We start from the raw sequence: 18,972 nt of genomic DNA on the forward strand, positions 1-18,972 counted from the left end.
CATACTGTTCTATTACATATTGCTGTTCCTAAGCTATACTAGTGTTATTATTTCTCCAAATGTATCCAGTCTAACAGACTTATACAGGAATTAATGCTACTTGGTTTATCCAAATCATTGCAGGCAGTCTTTGAGTGAGTAAATATAGTTATATGGTAGAATTGCATGCATAATAGAAAAAGTAGCTTTTACCCCCCAAAAAAATCCAAAAGAAGGTGAATAAGTTTTGTTATCTGTGGAAAAGGTATCCCCAATTTTGACTTTATAGCTCTTTCCTGATTTTAAAATATATTAACAGCAGGAAAAGACCTTGAAATAATAATATACTTAGATAAAACAAAATAAACCAGAAAGCTACTTAATACGTCACTTGCTTCTTTTTATTAGTATATCAGCACAATATTTTTCTTTTAAGTTTTATTTAGGTATACTTTACATAAAAGAATTTACCCATTTTATTTTCTTTTTTTTTCTTTTCTTTTTTTTTTATTATACTTTAAGTTTTAGGGTACATGTGCACATTGTGCAGGTTAGTTACATATGTATACATGTGCCGTGCTGGTGCGCTGCACCCACTAACTCGTCATCTAGCATTAGATATATCTCCCAATGCTATCCCTCCCCCCTCCCCCCACCCCGCCACAGTCCCCAGAGTGTGATATTCCCCTTCCTGTGTCCATGTGATCTCATTATTCAATTCCCACCTATGAGTGAGAATATGCGGTGTTTGGTTTTTTGTTCTTGCGATAGTTTACTGAGAATGATGATTTCCAATTTCATCCATGTCCCTACAAAGGACATGAACTCATCATTTTTTATGGCTGCATAGTATTCCATGGTGTATATGTTCCACATTTTCTTAATCCAGTCTATCATTGTTGGACATTTGGGTTGGTTCCAAGTCTTTGCTATTGTGAATAATGCCACAATAAACATACGTGTGCATGTGTCTTTATAGCAGCATGATTTATAGTCCTTTGGGTATATACCCAGTAATGGGATGGCTGGGTCAAATGGTATTTCTAGTTCTAGATCCCTGAGGAATCGCCACACTGACTTCCACAATGGTTGAACTAGTTTACAGTCCCACCAACAGTGTAAAAGTTTTCCTGTTTCTCCACATCCTCTCCAGCACCTGTTGTTTCCTGACTTTGTAATGATTGCCATTCTAACTGGTGTGAGATGGTATCTCATAGTGGTTTTGATTTGCATTTCTCTGATGGCCAGTGATGATGAGCATTTTTTCATGTGTTTTTGGCTGCATAAATGTCTTCTTTTGAGAAGTGTCTGTTCATGTCCTTCGCCCACTTTTTGATGGGGTTGTTTGTTTTTTTCTTGTAAATTTGTTTGAGTTCATTGTAGATTCTGGAATTTTCGCAACCTACTCATCTGACAAAGGGCTAATATCCAGAATTTACCCATTTTAAGTGTACAATTTTTAGTAAACTTACAGGAATTGTGCAACCAGCATCATAATCCAATTTTAGACCATTTTCATTACCCCAAAAAATATCCCTGATGCTGATTTGCAGCCATATCCTGTTCTCATTTGGCATTACTTTTTATCCTAAAAAATAATAAAATATTATAGGCAATATCCAACTTACTGACGTTGTTCTAAAATTCAATTTATACTCACATATTTGAAACTTGACATGCCAAAAAGAACTCATATATTTTTGGGGGAATGGTGTTATTTAGAGTACAGTCCAAACACCTGTAACAAAATGATTCAAAGCAAAATGTCTTAATTAAGATAAAAATTTTATTTCTCTCTAGTGTAAGAGGTAAGGAGTCTGTTCTGCTGGGGAGTTCTGCTATCTTCCACACATGGTTTCCATCTTCTAATTTAAAGGTAAAGCTCCAGTTTCTTCATTTGCTGGCCAAAGAGGAGTGGGGAGGAGAGTCAGAGGATTGAAAGCTCATCTCCTAAGGGACAGGACTTGCACACATCATTTCTCCTAAGGAAATGTGGCAGAAATGGTGGTGTCCAACTAAAAGTAGAAAGTTCCGTTATGAGAGATGAGAAAATAGTCAATAATGAACAAATTGTTTCTTCCACAGGTACCTGGGTTACATAAACTTTACAAATTTTATTTTAAGGATTGATTTTCTAAATTAATCTTTGCCTTCTCCAGTGTCCCTCTCAGGCACTTAATAAAAATTATTTTAATTACATTTAAAAGTAAAAGCAGACTAAAAAAAAGATATTTATGTGCATGTTATTTATTTAAGATATGAAAAAAAGCAGCCGGCATGTCTCAATGCTTTTATTGGGGTTTTTAAATTTAACTATGAGTAGGAAAAACAAAAAAGTTTGATAAAGTCAACCACTGAGGGTCACACAAAGAGGTAAAATGCAAGGTAAGTTGAATCCCCAAAATCTCCATGTTAACTACTAGATAGGCTTACCTGTTCATGAAATTGGGGACTTTTGCAAGTGGCTTTAAGATGAATTAAAAATATAGATTCACATTTATATATAAAGCATCGTTTCAAATCAGATATACAATTTGTTACAATACACAGCCTGTGCTGATAAAGATGGTTAGCTCCAAGCATTTTGGGGAAAAAATTACTCTAATTTTCAGATGAAAGTTGAGAAATGTTATGTGTATATATTATATATATTTCATATCTATACATTTTAATGTGATATATAATATATAATGTGATATATAATATATAATGTGATATATATAATATAATAATGTGATATATATAATATAATATATAATGTGACATATATTTTAATGTGATATATATCACCTTATATACTATATATCACATTTATATGATGTGATACATAATATATATCACATTATATGTGATATATAATATATATATCATATAGCTTAAACTCATTTTAAAAATCAACCTTTACTAAAATATAAAGCATGACTGTCCCAAAGATATATTTATAATTTTTTTAGTTATCTGGTACTTAATAAACTTTTACTATGGAAAAAACACTATTCTATATCTGGATTGTAGAGCACTGAATAAAATAAAGTCCCTAATCTCAGGTATATCTATTTAAAAGGGAATAGGCAGAAAAGAAAAGCAAACAACAATTCAGAGGAGAGTCATGAAAGTATGTCCAACATACCACATTATTTAGAGATAGGCAGGGAATTAAGATTCAGTGGTGTGATAGTGGGCTACCTTAGATTGGGTAGTCAAAGAGCTCCTCTCTGAGGAGATGATATTTAGTCTAAGATAAAGTTATGTGAAATTCAGGCAGAAGATTATTACAGGCAGAAGAAAGACTAATGAAAAGGTCCTGAGGGCAGAACAAGCCTAATATACTCAAAGAGGAAGAAGACCAGTCTGCCTGAAGTATAGTTTTAGGAGGAAAAATATCTCAAGATGATACAAGATCTGGGTGTGGTATAGCTTTGTAAGGCAAGGATACTGTTAATTGTAAGGCAAGGTTTACTGTACACACAGAAGCTAACACGTTGAATGGTACTGAGCAAGACAATGAAATGTCTTATTTTGTGTAAGATTGTTTTACCTTCTGTGTTAAATACCTGGGGGCAATGGGGTTTGGTAGCAAAGGGAAATCAAGGCTAATGATGCAGTCCTAGATGAGAAGTAACATTGACTTGGAGAAGGGCGGTACTTTGGGAGAAGAAAAAAACAATTGTGTCATCAGGCATGAAATATATTTTGGAGAGTTAAGTGAACAAACCTTGAAGATGGGATGGAGATTTGAGGGAGAGAAAATGAAGGAAAGAGAGGGATGAAGAATGATTGTACAATAATTTCGGTATTTTCATTAAACAATTGTGAAAAACACAAGGAACCAGTTTGCAAGTTAAGAATTAAAAGTTAATGGGAGCCAAGTAAAATTTGAGATAAATTTTAGTAGATATCTACATAAAAGTATTAGAGCAGGCCTTGATGTACAAGTCTGCTGTTCTAATGAGAAGTCAAGTCAAAAGGTATAGATTTGGAAGTCACTGGCCCGCAGATGCCACCACAGCCATGGAACTTTAGGTTCTCGGAGAGTACGCATAGAGAGAGAAAAGGGTCCAATTCAGACAAAGCTTTTCGGGTTCCAACAGTTAGAAGACAACCAGAGGAAGAGGATTTTACAAAGAAGATTACGTTAAAGCCTCCTATGCAGGTAGGAGAAAAGTTAAGAGGCTGCAGTTCCTGTCTGTGTTAAATGCTGCCAGAAAGGAAACACTGAATTTGACAACATGGAAGGAAGCCCGATGACTTCAGGGAAAGATTCTTGGAGGCAGCATTTGGATGGAAGCCTAACTGCAATGGGTTAAGGGCCATTTTTCATATAAAAAAACAGAAGCATTTTTTTTCCAGAATTGTTTTCTAGTAGATACAGTTGAAAGCTGAAATGGTAGCTATACTACCATGTTATGTTGGAGGAAGTGGCAAGAGAGTGACAACATCTGGTTGAAGAACCAGAATTCCAATTTATTCACTGATTTTCTTAACCTCCCAATCGTTGGATTTATAGGTAAAGGAAATAATGCTTATGGACATTTCTCAAAATATGTTGGCATAAAGTTGTCACTACATAATTGAGAAAAAAAGGTATATAAGAAATGAATTTCTAATGAAAGTATGTAATTATCATCATTTTTAAACCAGAATACAGAATACCTATTATATATGATATATAATTTTTGAAAGGGAAAGTTTTACATAAATGGAGTCTCAAGATAATATAACAAGCAAAATAATCTTAACTTTTCTTAGTTTAATTCAGTTCAGCAAATAATTTTTAAATATCTGCCGTGTTATGAAAATCAAATTGGTGGTGTGATAGAGAAGGTAAAAACAAAACAACAACAGCAAAACAAAACCAAACAAGCTAAGTCTACTTAAAAACTTTTTGTAGGGAAAGATAAATGCAAAAATGTGATGTTGTTTAAGAGTAAAAAGAGATTTGAAAATATAAATTATATGGGGGATGAAGGTATCAGAATATCTTCAAAAAGCTGAGTTTTGGAAATAAAATATGTCTCCATGAAGATCTGGAGAAAGACCCAGAAGTAGGTCACATACATAGATATGGATGTAAAAAGCATATGGTACTCTTGAGAAACTGTAAGCAGCTTGATATCGCATGCATATTGAAGTGTGAGTTCAAGTTCAAATACAGTTAGGAGCCAGTATCCCATATCTGAGCATTAACCAAAGAAAAGAAAGAAAAAGCTAAATATCTCGAAGCTTTCCAAATTTTGTCCAAACAAATTTTAGAATACAAATATTAATAGAAGTCATATTATAATCCTTAAAGAATTAATCAGGTCAAGAATGACACAGACCCTTCTAGTGCTTTCCTGTCTCCTGTTCTGAAGTCACCAACCACAAGATATTCAGCCAGCCAGCCAGCCATGCTACAAACATTAAAAAGTTTATTCTTATGATACTCCAGGACAAAGTGCAATCTGTTTTCAGACAAATTCAATTTTAATGTTATTGATTATTGTTTCATAAATGTTTTTGCTCAGTTTCTCCGCCTCTTAAAGGAGAATCACCCATTATGTGACAGAATTTCCTAAACATTGGTCATTAAAGTATTTATTAAAAAATCACATTTGCTCTTCTTCATAGTCAATAGGAAGTTCCTTGAGAGAAAACCATAACTTCGATTTTGAGTATTTAAGCCATCCTTACTCCCAGGCCCATGTGTAGCAAACACAAAATAAATAGTCTTTTACAAATAACACTAGGACATATCATGTTACAATGGTTATCTGAGCCACAAAATGATACTTTAATAATAATAATTACAATATATTATACATAATGTATATACATACACAGAGTAAATTAAGTTATACATAATTTATATGATATACATGTATGCATATATATAATCTCAAAAAGTACCTGTTAATCCCTCTGCTGTCAGGGTAGCTAGATACCTGATCTTTATTGCTTCAGATTTCTTAAGTATGAGTCAGACACTGTCCACTGTGCCTATCAAGCTACAGGAGACTCGTTAAGCTAAGTAGTCTTCTTAAAGTTTCAGTGCAACTGTAGAGTAAGAAGCACCATCCTCCATCTCACAGACAGCATTCTCTAAAGAAATCCCTGTCTAATCAAAACCCTGCCAGTTTTATGCCCTTATTGTGAGCAAGGAGCTAAGAGTTAGAAATCCATTTCTCTAAACTGCCTTTTGCATGATTGTCTCTCACCTCACTTTAGAATGTTGACATCAATCATCTTGTGGCCTCAGCAGAAACTGAGGCTAAGATAAATTTATTTTAACATATGGTGACTCATATTTTATTCTTTATCTTCATTTTTTTCTTCATTCAACTGAAGTTTAGATGATTACTTTGATCAGATTCTGTTTGAAACCCTAAAGGAAATTTTATGAACTTTGCATTTTCTTTTTAAAATTATTGATAAGAAGGTTTTAAAAAAACTACTTTGTGCTTTACAGTAAGATAAATTAAAAACAGTTTTAAATTTCACCTCACTCTTTTGACTTGCAGGCCTCAAAACAATGTGAATTAATTGAGGTTTTATTATGCCTAATAGTAGAGATAAATGGCACAATGAGCTTTCCTTTTAAATGCAAATCAAATAATCGTAGTTTAAGAATTTTATATCCATAAAAGATCATAGAGCCTACATTAACCACTTAACTTTAAGAAAAAACCTTACGATCTTTAAATTACTTGTTAAACGTTATAAAACTGATTAATATTAAAATCTATTTACTTACAAAACTCTCTCCATTCCATCATGGTATTCAATATTTGTACAAAACTACAAATGAACCTCAGTAATCATTAAAAAGTGCCAAATGTTTGCATTAACATGCCTGCTTTTCTAGATGGACCATTTAAGAACAAGTAATATTCAAGTACCTCAAAAATATCAGTAATTATACTTCATGACAAACAATTGTAATCTCAATTTACAGATGTTTGCTGAGGTAGGTTATCCATTAATTAATGCCCTTCCTATTTTTGGATATGCATACTACATTATTTGTCTCTGTAGGATAAAATTCCCTCTCACTTTCCCAAATTGTTTCTTTTCTACTAGTAGAGTGAATAGATGTCATTATTAGTGTTGATGAATTTCGAACAGTGTCTCGATGGGAATTTCCATCATGATTTGCCTGGCCTCTCTGACTCCCTTAGACCCATGCATTCACTCCAGGGCAAGAGAGGAGAAATGAGAAAACACAGGATCAGGTCTGCCACTGTGTTTCCATTAACCTGAGTGGTCCCTTCACAACCTCGGAAGTGCAGAGACTGAATAATGGCCCAAGTGGGGCACGACAGATCGATTTCATAATTTTTACACACTGTTTCTCCTCAGTTCTAACTGGCTATTGATTGGACGAGCTGGAGATGGGTAGTGCCTCCGGGACCTTAGAAGTACTCAAAGGAAATTCTCTCCCTCCTCTCAGCAACAACTCCAGGCTCTTGTAACCATTCACTTTACAGAGGAAAGTAAGAAAAAACTCAACAATGAAGTCATCTCAAAAGAAACTAATTTCTTCCTGCAATGCGAAAGTGAACTCACTTTAATACATTACTATTTAGCTTTCAGATGATTCCAATCATATATTTAAACTAAAGAAAGCAAGCAGTATTCACATAGGTGAAAAATGTTTTAAAGTGAGTAGGGCTTTCATAATATCATTTGATCTAATCTCTTTACCTAATAGATGTGAAAATTGAAGCCCAGAGTTTTTAATTCATTTACCCCAAGACTTGGGGTAACTTGGAATAAACTTGGTTTCCTAATCTTCTTTCTAGTGGCCTCTATTCTCGGAAATGTTTTCTTATTTCTAACAGAGAACCACAGAGAGACAGTCTCTATTCTTGCTTTGGATCTGTGAAAGTCATAACACCTAAAATTAATGTAGGCACCAATTCCCAGTGACATCTTATGAATGTCAGACTGGAAAAATGAAAAGAATGCAGGGCTTTTGACACTATGGAACCAATGTACCAATATGGAAGCTTGCCCTACATCTGGAATTTCTGCTTTCAAAGATCAGAAACTTCTATAAGGTTTAAGAGAGTTGAGGTCAAGATTTCTTTTCTTTTCAGCTTAAATAAGACTCACTAAAAAGTTCTTCTTCTCAATCTTCTCCCTTCCTGATTTCTTCCAATGCAGGAGCCATCTAGGCTTCTGCAAGGAATGGAAACCACTGTGTGTTTCTTAAGGGCAAAAAAAAAAAAAAAAATACATGCACTATACTAGTTCAAGAAATTAAAACCAGTTGTGAGGATAGCATGTTCACCTAATATCTACTGCTGAAGTAGAGGGGAAGAGATCCAGAAAAAATAGCACAAGAAATTCTTCAGGGATGAGATTCTTCTAGGATGAAAGCCCCGGAGACATTCATTCCGTGGGATTACCAGTTTACAACACAAAGTCATAAGAGGGTCATTAGACTTCTAATAAGTTCTTCTAGGTCACTAGTTCTCAACAAGAGTTAATTTTGTTGCCTGGAAATTTGCCCTGCCAAGGGAAAATATTTAGATATGTTTTTAATTGACCCAACTTGAGTGAGGTGCTACTGACAACTAATGGGTAGAGGACAGGGATGCTATAAACACAAGAATGCCCCCACAACGAAGAAATTATACAGCCAGACATACTAATAATTCTCAGAATAAGAAATGCTGTCTTAAGTTGCTTCCTACTTACATGAATTTTTAGCAACCCTATTATTTTCAAATAATACCTTGTATTCTGCCCAACAAATTTTTAATTCAGATAAAAAATGGTTTGAGCAAAGGGTTTTGTTTTTTAATATTACATGAAAGTGCCAGATTTTTAACTTTTAATTTTCTGACATCACAGAGTAGATCATAAGACTGTCAGAAGCCTTCGGAAAAGGTCCCTGAGGGACTGAAGGCCACCATTAGAACTTGGAACATATGCCTATAGTCCAAGCTACTTAGAAGTCTGAGATACGAGGAACATTTGAGTCCAGGAGTTCAAGATTGCAGTAGGCTGCGATCACACCACCACTGTACTCCAGCCTGGGCAACCAAGCAAGATTCTATCTCCGAAAAACAAAACAAAACAACAATAACAACAACAAAACTTCGGGGCAGTGGTTTGCCTCTTTGGTATTTAATTATTTTTTAATAATGCAGTTTTTTGGTAAATGAGAATATTATAATTCCTTGCTTTCTTGGCAAATTGATGGACCATGTGACTAGTTCTTTCCAGTTGGCTATGGACAGATAGGGTGTAGCATTAAATTGCTGGTTGGAGGCTTCTCAACTTTCTCTTTGTCCTGGTGCCCTGACTGGCAACCTTCCGTATATCAGCGTTTTTAATTCCATACTGACTGTGACTTAAGCAAGTTTGTTTGTTATAATGATTCAAGCAACTAAAACATGAGTTGTGTGTTATTTCAGCCTAATCTAGATTTTTATAACAAGTATGTTTATTAGAGCTTTAAAATGGGTCATTTTAAGTAAAAATTGCAACTCAGTTAAAAAGTGGGCAAGTTCATGTAAGTTAAAATCTAAAAAAAAAAAAACAAAACAAGAATAAGAAAAACTATGTATATTTAATTCCCTCTGGATATCAGGTAATTTGCCTGTTTTCATTGCACAGATTATTATTCATTATTAATTATGCAACCAACCAAATGCTAGGCACTGGTGCAGTAGCATACTTCTAGGTGCGATAACTTTGATAAGCATTGCTTGCTAAAGCTCAAAGCTTTAAGTTCCACTGGATGAGACATTTTATCTGCTGTGTTCACTGTGATTAGCCTAGTATCTGCTAGCAGGGGTCAGCACACAGTAGGCTTTAATAAATCTTTGTTGACTGTAATAATCAATAAAGATTTCAACAATCTACCGTCAAGGAACCGTGAGCTGCTGGGGCTGAGAGAACGATTTTAGGCCAATCAGTATGTCACTATCAACTGGATAAGAGAAAGGAATATGCATTTGGGTGGGTAGAGTAGTGTTAATAAATAAAGACTACTTCTTGAGTACATTTTCTTCTGAGAGTATGAAAAAAGCCTCAAGAGAATCACTCCTAAAACTGGGGATGTCTCTCGATAATTTGGGAATATTCACCATCTTATATCTGAAAATTTCTGAGCTACTGAGTAAACAAGTACTTAATACTGCTGAGGCTGAGACAGGTATAGGAGGGAGAGAGTAGGCTTAAGCGAGGTATTTCAGGGCTGCAGCTCACTGTTGGAGCTATCATGGCAAGCTGATGCTTCAAAAGCTAGCTACCTACAACCCAAACATCACCATGTCACTCAATCCCCAAACATTGATGCGGAATTTTTTGGGGTGTCGCTTTGCCAGCCAGAAACCTCTTAATGTCAGCTCCTTTTGCCTGAGTACTGCTCATGCCCTCTAGGCTCATTCTGTTTACTCAGCCAGGCAGGCTGCACTTGCCCTGTGCTACTGGCCTGGATCTCATACCTGCCTAGCCTGAGCCAGGTGCAGAGTATCCAGGGGTGTGTGAGCCAGCGAGTGCGGGGTCTGGCCGCTGCACACAGCCAGGCACATCACCTTCTGCAGCAGGGTGCTCAGCTCCAGGCACTGGTATAGGTATAGGTGCAGGCTGTGTTTGAGGCTGTAGCTGGACGAGACATACCACACGTGGCTTCCACTGTGGGCACCAGCATCTGGACACGGGGAACAGGGCAGCACTCGAAAGCTCAGAGACACCAGAAACTTCAGAGCCCCAAAGAGGGTGTTACGGCCCTGGCTCGGGGAGCCCCTAGGGCTGCAACTCTTCTCTTCTTCTCATTGCCTGCAGCATGGCGAGGGTTGGGGGTCATGTTTCAGCCCTGATTATGTTACTGCTCTTTGACTCCCGCCATTCAGCAGGTTGTAGTGCCAAGTTCTTGTCCAGCGTCTAGGAAGAATGAGGTATGCAGACAACTGGAGGGTAAGCAAGGTGGAGAGGAGCTTCACTGAGCAACAGAACAGCTCTCAGGAGACTGGAAGTGGGTAGCTCCTTTCTGCAGGCAGGTCCACCCAACATCTATTTGAGTCTGACTGAGTCCGGAAAATTTTATGGGCTCAGAAGAGTGAAAGTCAGTGCTAATTTGTCCATGGGTGGCCATGAGTGGGCCTGGAAAACACACTATCCAGTTGGCCGAATGGTCTTCAGTGAAGTTCTCACTATCGGCATCAGACTGCCTGGAACTGCCAGCCCAGTCCACAGGCTTCAGGCATTCCCTGGCTTGAAGGTGGGACTTTACCAGGGACCTGCCCCGTTCCACCCAGGAACATGTCTGCCTCCTGCTGTCAATATGCCATCCGTGGTGCCCAGGCTATTCGTGCTGAGGAGCATCTGCCGGCCTGTGCGAGCCACCCTCAGCCTCCCCCCGCCCCCTACCAGCCTCCCTCCACTCATCAGCAGTCTGGAGGGGACCAAAGTGGCAGAGGGCTAGTGTGTCAGGCTGCCCTGAATCTGCACAGCTGGCTGGGATGCAATAGTGCCAAGCCTCTGCCACAACTTTGTTCTACCCAGGAGCAAGCTGTGGAAGCAGGAAGAGACCAGGCAGTGGGAGCAGGCACTTTCAAACCCAAGGAGCAAGGAGCTCCCTGGGCCCCTGAGAGTGCAGGAATGTCTGGGTCCAAAGCCCTGGCTGGGCGGCTGCAGCTGCACCCGCAGGTGCAGGGCTCCTGCCCTGCTGACTTAGTAGATGACGGGGCTCCCACCTGTTCCCGGCCCCTGCTGACTCCATGGAGCAAGCAGCCCTGAATGCACCTCCACTGCTGTAGCAGCATCTTCACAGTGGCTGCTCCAGACAAGCCTCCACTGCCATCAACATCATTTACTAAACTTGGAAAAACTAACATTGGTAGCAATGAGTATGTGTGTATACATATGTTGGGGCACAGATTAAAACCCATCTGATCTCCCTTGACAGGGAATTAGATGGATGCATTCTATTGCATTTACATCTCTTTTATTATTATTATTATTTTTGAGACAGAGTCTCATACTTTCTCCCAGGCTGGAGTACAGTGGTGTGATCTCGGCTTAATGCAACCTCCGCCTCCTGGGTTCAAGCGATCCTTCTGCCTCAGCCTCCCAGGTAGCTGGGATTACAGGCATGAGCCACTGCACCTGGCCTACATCTCTCTTAAGTGGCATCGAATGTGTCCCATGTGGATATTTGCAACACAGAGGATGGCTATAAATAGTCAATGTTAGGAAGAGAAGCAATGACAGTGTGGGGAGAGAAGAGGAAGTGTTTCTAAAAAGAGTGTTTAATTAGATATTAAAGTAAATGTTAAAACAGATATATCTGGGTCTTAGGAAGTAGAAGTTGGCTCTCATAATGGCTAAAATTATTGACAAGTTACAGAAGTGAACAGAGTTGTCATTACAGAGAATGCATGACCAAGCGAGAAAGTGGGAGGTGTTGACTCAGTTGGTGTCAGTTATCGGAAAAATAAAATGGCTTGCTGTCTCACTTCAGCAAATTGAGAATCTTAAATAAATTAATCTCAAAATAAAAAATAGGGCCCTTCCTTATGAGATGCTTACATCTTGTAGGGTAAGAAAGACAAACATTTAAACATGATGTAAGAGTGAGGCTGTGGGGATGCACTAGCTGCAGGGGAGCACAGAGTATTTATACTTAGACTGGGAGGATACAGGAAAATTTCCTGAGAAGACAGCATGGCGGGAGCTAAAGTTTTAAGGACGAATAAGAGTTAGCCAGGCAAAGAATGTGGGAAGTGCATTCAGGGCAGTTAAGCAGCGTGAGTTAAAGCACAGAGCTGTGAAGCAGTATGGTGCATGAGGAAAACAGCAAGTCACTTGATTTCAAGTGCATGAAGTAAGAGGCAGGGCATGGCAGGAGTTAAGGTTAAGAGATACATAGGACAGGGAGGGCTGTACAGGAGATAATATCAAGGATTTTGCAGACAACAGGGTTCCACTGAAGGGTTCTAAAGCAGGCAGGTGACACGATCAGATCTTATTTTTAATTTTATTATTTATTTATTGATTTCGAGACAGGGTCTTGCTCTTGTCACCTAGGCTGGCGTGCTGTGGCAGGATCTCAGTTCACTGCAGCCTCGGACTCCTGGACTAAAGTGATCCTCCCATCTCAGCCTCTGGAGTAGCTGGGACAATAGGTGTGCACCACTACACCTGGCTAATTTTTTTTTGAGACCGAGTTTCTCTCTAGTTGCCCAGGCTGGAGTGCAATGGTGCGATCTCGGCTCACTGCACCCTCCACCTCCCGGGTTCAAGCGATTCTCCTGCCTCAGCCTCCTGAGTAGCTGGGATTACAGGCATGCGCCACCATGCCCAGCTAATTTTGTAGTTTTATTTTTTTTTTTATTATACTTTAGGTTCTAGGGTACATGTGCACAACCTGCAGGTTTGTTACATATGTATACATGTGCCATGCTGGTGTGCTGCACCCATTAACTCGTTATTTACATTAGAGGCTGGGTTTCTCCATGTTGGTCAGGCTGGTCTCCAACTCCCGACCTCAGGTGATCTGCCTGCCTCGGCATCCCAAAGTGCTGAGATTACAGGTGTGAGCCACCATGCTTGGACCAATTTTTGTATTTTTTGAGATGGGGTTTCACCATGTTGCTCAGGCTGGTCTCAAACTCCTGGACTCAAGCAATCCTCCAGCCTCGGCCTTCCAAAATGCTGTGATTACAGGTACGAGCCACCACACCCGTCCAGATCTTATTTTATATGGGATATTAATGGTAACTTTGTAAAATTGGAGGAAGAAATACCACAGGCAAAGACTACAACTAGCACCCATTAGTTAAATTGGGAATGAGGAGGATCTAAACTAGGAGAATGACAGTGTGGTTTGAGGAAAGGTTATATATGTATAAACAACTTAGTGATAAATTTAGTAGGCGATTACCTGGAAGTTGGAGTAAGGAAAAGAAAATGATATTTACAGCCCATATTTATATTTGGACAATGGTTTTATGAGAGGCAAGTATTACACAGGCAGGAACAATTAATGGGGAAAAGCAAACTTATGACAATTTTGAGACAGTTTTGAAAATATTTAGCAGGCAGTTGGATATAGATATCTGAACTTCATTGCAGATATTGGTACTAGAAATACACAAAGGGGAGTCATAAACATTAGTTTGCAGCTGAAACTAGAAAATTGGAAAAGGGATCTCCATGGAGTGTGTGTGGAGTGAGAATAACCAGAGATCAATCTTGAGGAACATTTAAGGAGTGGGCAGAAGGGCAGAACTCATTGGAGATTGAGGGAAAAAAAAAGTCAAAAAATTTTGTTTCTTGATTACAAAAACAAACAAAAACCAAAAACAGACTGATATTGTCACTTTTCTAGTAGGTTAAGGTTTTTTCTTTTAAATTCCAGTGGGTAATTAGGAAATCACTGGCTACTCTGATAAAATAGTTTCAGGGAAATGATAGAGACAGTGAAAAAAGTTACAGGCTATTAAAAAATGAATGGGAAGTAAGGAAAAAGTATCTTATTTCAAGAAAAGTGCAGGTAAAGGGAAGAGAGGAATCAACACAAATAAAACAGTTTAACTTTCAAGTAAATGTATTTCTAATTCTATTCTTTCCTGGGATAAGGGATTGCTTAGAAAGATTATATGTGTTTGAAAGCAAGGGTAAAGCCAAGATAAAGGAAAAACCATGGTAAGGGAAGAAACAATTGCAACGGATGAAACAAAGCTCTGAAGGACATTTAGAAAATAAAGAACAGATGTCTGCTTGATGGTTGGTCATAAAGAAGAGAAGTATATAATCCTCTCAGAAGGTAAGGGTGGGTATAGAAAATCAGAAGGTGAGGGGGACAGAAGAGCCAGTAATTCATGTTTTATGAAATCAGATTCCCTAATAATATAGAAGTTTGTTTATTAAGAGTAAGGTTGAGAGAGTGGAGAAGCCTTGAGAATAAAGGTAGAACAATTGCTGAAAGAAGTGGAAGGAACAACTGATTGAGAAGGCCAAAGACCTGAGAAATTGACTAGGATCGAATGTACAAATTTGTGGACATATGAATGTTTAAATGATGGCATTTCTCTAGCAGCGTCAAGCCTCTGCATTAGAGTAGAGAAAGTGGATAATGGAATTAACTCAAGATTGACATTTTATCTGTCAGATGTCTGTAAAGGTAAGGATGTAAGGCATTGAGGTTATTGACAAAATAGTTCAGATAATCAGCAACAACAGGACCCAGGCTGAGGAGCGAAGACATCAAGCCTGGAAATGTCTAGCTCAGCTGAAAGAGGGAGGTGGGGTGGAATCCAGAACTGGTTGTTTCTGTAAAGCTGTTTATGGCCAGATAAGTGAGAGTGATCAAGACAAGAGGTTGTGCTTAAAACCTGAGACATCAGTGCTTAAAGCGTGCGACATCAGCACTTAAGGTTCAGATATAGACAGATTTCAGTTCAACTTCAACGTATGGCTGTCGGCTGTGATGAGTTAGGTATTTTTGTGTCCATTTTATGACAAAGCAAGTGATTTGGAGAGGTTACATAATTTATGTTTAAACCACTAGTGGGTATGAGAGCTGGGATTTGACCACAGGTTTTCTGACTTCAGAGCTTCTGTACTTTTATTAGTCCATATCATCCTGCACAATTTGACTTCTCAAGTAATGAAATAGGGATGCATTTTTGCTTTATTCAAGTTTATACTGTTTTAATTTATAAGAGAATCAACATAATTTTGATAATCATTTGTTCTATTTACTTTGTTTTGTTTATAACTGAATATTCCTGATTGGTTGTTTTGGACCTAAGTGTTTGATTTGGGAACATCTTCAAAGATGTTAGTGTCCTTTTCATTTTGAAGATATTTGGCCTAATAACATTTTGTTCATAAAACTGTGTTCAGCCCACCAATGAGTTTAAATTGGTTTCAGAATTACATATAGTTAAATAAGATGTCAGAAGCAAGTAATTTGAGTTCAAATTATGTAATAGCATAGATATGTTTGTTTGTATTTTTTCCAAAAGCCTTGTTGAACTGAGTTACTCAAAGCTTTTCTTGTAGAGTGCCTACTGGTGCTTTATAAAATCACAGGCATCAAATTAACGAGTCCATCCAACTTTCTAGATAATTAGAATGCCCCTCAGCTTAACAGCACAGGGCTGAATCAGAACTATTTTACTGAAGAAGGTGTGAAACTTGTTTTCCTAAGTGGCAAAATAAAAAGTTATTAATAGCGATGCTAACATTCACATTCAGTTTAACTGATTTTTTAAAGTCATTTTTTAGTCTAATCTCCAATGACTTTGAACATAGTTTCCCAAATGTTCTGTTCTTGCATTGTGCCCTTGCATTAAGTTCAGGATTAGTTTTTCTTATCACCATACTTCAAAAACAGAGATCTTAAATATATATCAAATTTGGTCTTGTTTGTGACATTCTAATATTAACTGATGATTTTTATAGCATTGATTTCATATGGCAATGTTTGTTTTTAATTGATTTAGGTGCTGTGTTCTCAGTAAAACTAACTCATTAGAAAAATGTTCTGAAACCTAGTTGATATCTATTTATTCACTTTTGCAGAGGGTTTTTAGCCAAGACACATTCTCCAATTTAAATAAACTTCTTTATATTATAGATTACATCATGTATAAAGAGAAAATGCAAAAACATGGTTAACTTTTACATATTAGGTCATTAAAAATCCATTCTTGCCTTCCTGCCCATTACTACATCTCTTTTTCAGACCTGTCACCCATTTCATTTAAGCACTTAGCTCTCTTCTAATGAATGAATTGGCATTTCATATTACCTTATTATCCTACAAAACAAAATGCATACTCAATAACATTAATGGTAATTTCTCATAAAGACACATTATCGATCCGGGAGCTACCTGTAAGCATTGAAAATTGCAGCCTGCACACAGAGCCTTTCACATCTGGGTCTGAAGAATTAAAGAAAAATTAAATTTGACAGCAGTAAATTCACAGGCACAATCTAGGCTCCAATTTATATGCAAAATGAAATGCTTTATGAAAATTTCTTCTATTTTCTCACGGAGATTTGGAAAAAAGATTTCACTAGGTGCTTCTTTCTTTAATATCCCTCTACTTAAATATTATACTGCAGTCACTGCAGACTCTCTTTGATGTATAAATAATCAAGTTAAATTATGTGCAGCAAGGAGACTAGTGCTCTGCCATTCTTATTTTACAAAGTAATTTCTACCCTAGAGGGTCAAATTTCCCTGACAAATTCTTAATTACTGTGTTGCAACAGAAGCAGAATCTATTTGTGCATAAATCCTGGGCATTCCCATGTGGCAAGTAACTAATATTACCAACCATTTCACTTGGCCTGTTCACTGAACTCCATAATTAGATAATACTTTTGATGATGGTACATTTGAAGTCTTAATCCATTTAATTTTTTATGAGTTTTTTTTTATTTTAATAGGGATATGTTAGTGACCACTGCCTATTTAAAAATCATTAAAATTCTGTCCACAGCAGTAATAAAGATTAAAGATCACTAATATGGCATTCATAACCTTGCTGGTTTTCCAGAAATCCAGGGCTTAAGGTAAATGTTAAAGGTCATTTAATATGTTAGTCACTAATTATAATCCTGGGTAATAGGTTCCTTTTCTAATTATCATGGTATAAAAGTTCTATTGTTTGGGTCTGTGCTTCTGATTTTTGTATTTAGCTTTTTTTTGGAATAAGTAATCCTGGAATTAAGCTCCTGAACATTGATGAAAGTAGGTAATGCTTGATGATTAACTGGATAAAAGCTTATATTTGAATGCTGTATGATATCTTGCCTTGAAGTTACTTACAAAAGATGCAGCATCTTTTTTTCTAGGAATAAGTTCAGGGAAAAGGTCATTGTAAGGTTAATGCACCCATATTTTAATATCAAACTATGACAAATTTGACTACAGCCTTTCCGTACCCCTGCCAAAACATTAAGAAGAAAGCTTAAACAACATGAAACGAGAGGAGGTATTTCTAAAAAGTGGACTAGATTTGGCCTCTTAACCTAATAACAAAAGTGCAAAATTATCCATTTCACTTTGCAATAAATTGCCCACTCCTTGTTTAAACACACATACATACACAGGCATACACATACATCTCGTAAGTTAGAGTAGCTTCCTGAAGAAATCACAAGCTGCCTTCTCAGCTAATATCCTAGGATCATGACAAGCCAAAGCCATGATGGACCAATTGTAACCCATCAGTATTTTGGCCCGTATTTTTCACCAAATTCAGACTATGTTGTTGTTTTCCACTTAGCTTTATATTGGTCTTGAAAGTATTACATATCATCTGCTTATAAAATGTCTGCACTTTGAATTATTTTATTAACATGTATTTTTTCATATTTCAAACATTATTTGCATTTTCTACCTCTTCAGTCATTCATATATACTTCAATCTTTGCATTTGTCCTTGCAAGGAATCTTTAACAAGTCACTAATATAATGTCAATTGTGTCTTAGATTGTTAGAACTTGTAAAAAGCTTTAAGAATATTTTATAAGAGCCCTATCAGTAGTTATACCTTGATTAATTAATTCATAATTATTTATTGAGTATTTGCTGTGCTCCGGACATGTAAAGATTCTTGCTATCATGAAACTTTTATTCCACTGACAGGAGAGACATACAATAGACAGAATAAATAAGTTTACCTCTATTCCAATGTCTCTCTCTATAGTATATATAGATACTATATATAAGTAACTATAGATACTAATGATAGAAACTTTAAAATACTACAAGCAAGAGGAAAACTCAGGAGTAATATGGGAATTGATGATTAGGAATCAGAAAAAGGGTTACTATCTTAATTTGAGTGATCTTAGAAGGACTCTTTGAGAAAGTGACATTTGACCAAAGATTGGCAAGCATTACTCAAGGGTATCAGGTACCCCAGGAAGAGCAGGCAAGTACAAAGACTCTGAGGCAAGAGCATGCTTGGCTTGTTTGAGGAGCAATGTGAAAGTGAGTGGTTGGAAAGAAGGAAAGAAAGTTAGAGTATT

At 37.1% G+C, this 18,972-nt stretch overlaps 1 long non-coding RNA gene and 1 other non-coding gene across 2 annotated transcripts in view, besides 1 other annotated feature; both read left to right on the plus strand.

Moving 5' to 3' along the window:
• The first annotated feature begins 1,777 nt into the window (after positions 1–1,777).
• The window catches only part of LOC124902889 (uncharacterized), a 38,516-nt gene continuing 21,321 nt past the window's right edge, over positions 1,778–18,972 (plus strand). The window contains exon 1 of the long non-coding RNA XR_007063232.1: positions 1,778–1,855. This is a non-coding gene — a long non-coding RNA (uncharacterized LOC124902889). The remainder of the gene's footprint in view (positions 1,856–18,972) is intronic.
• Positions 16,419–17,899: an enhancer, noted in NCBI's record as "VISTA enhancer hs579". NCBI's record gives its function as "enhancer in: ear[6/7]" and the evidence as "EXISTENCE:transgenic organism evidence [ECO:0001131][PMID:17130149]".
• On the plus strand, positions 17,797–17,892 carry MIR3974 (microRNA 3974). Its single transcript, NR_039770.1, has one exon. It is a non-coding gene; the product is annotated as a microRNA 3974 (primary transcript).

The sequence above is a fragment of the Homo sapiens genome, chromosome 12 (genome assembly GCF_000001405.40).
Source record: "Homo sapiens chromosome 12, GRCh38.p14 Primary Assembly".
Classification (NCBI taxonomy): domain Eukaryota; kingdom Metazoa; phylum Chordata; class Mammalia; order Primates; family Hominidae; genus Homo; species Homo sapiens.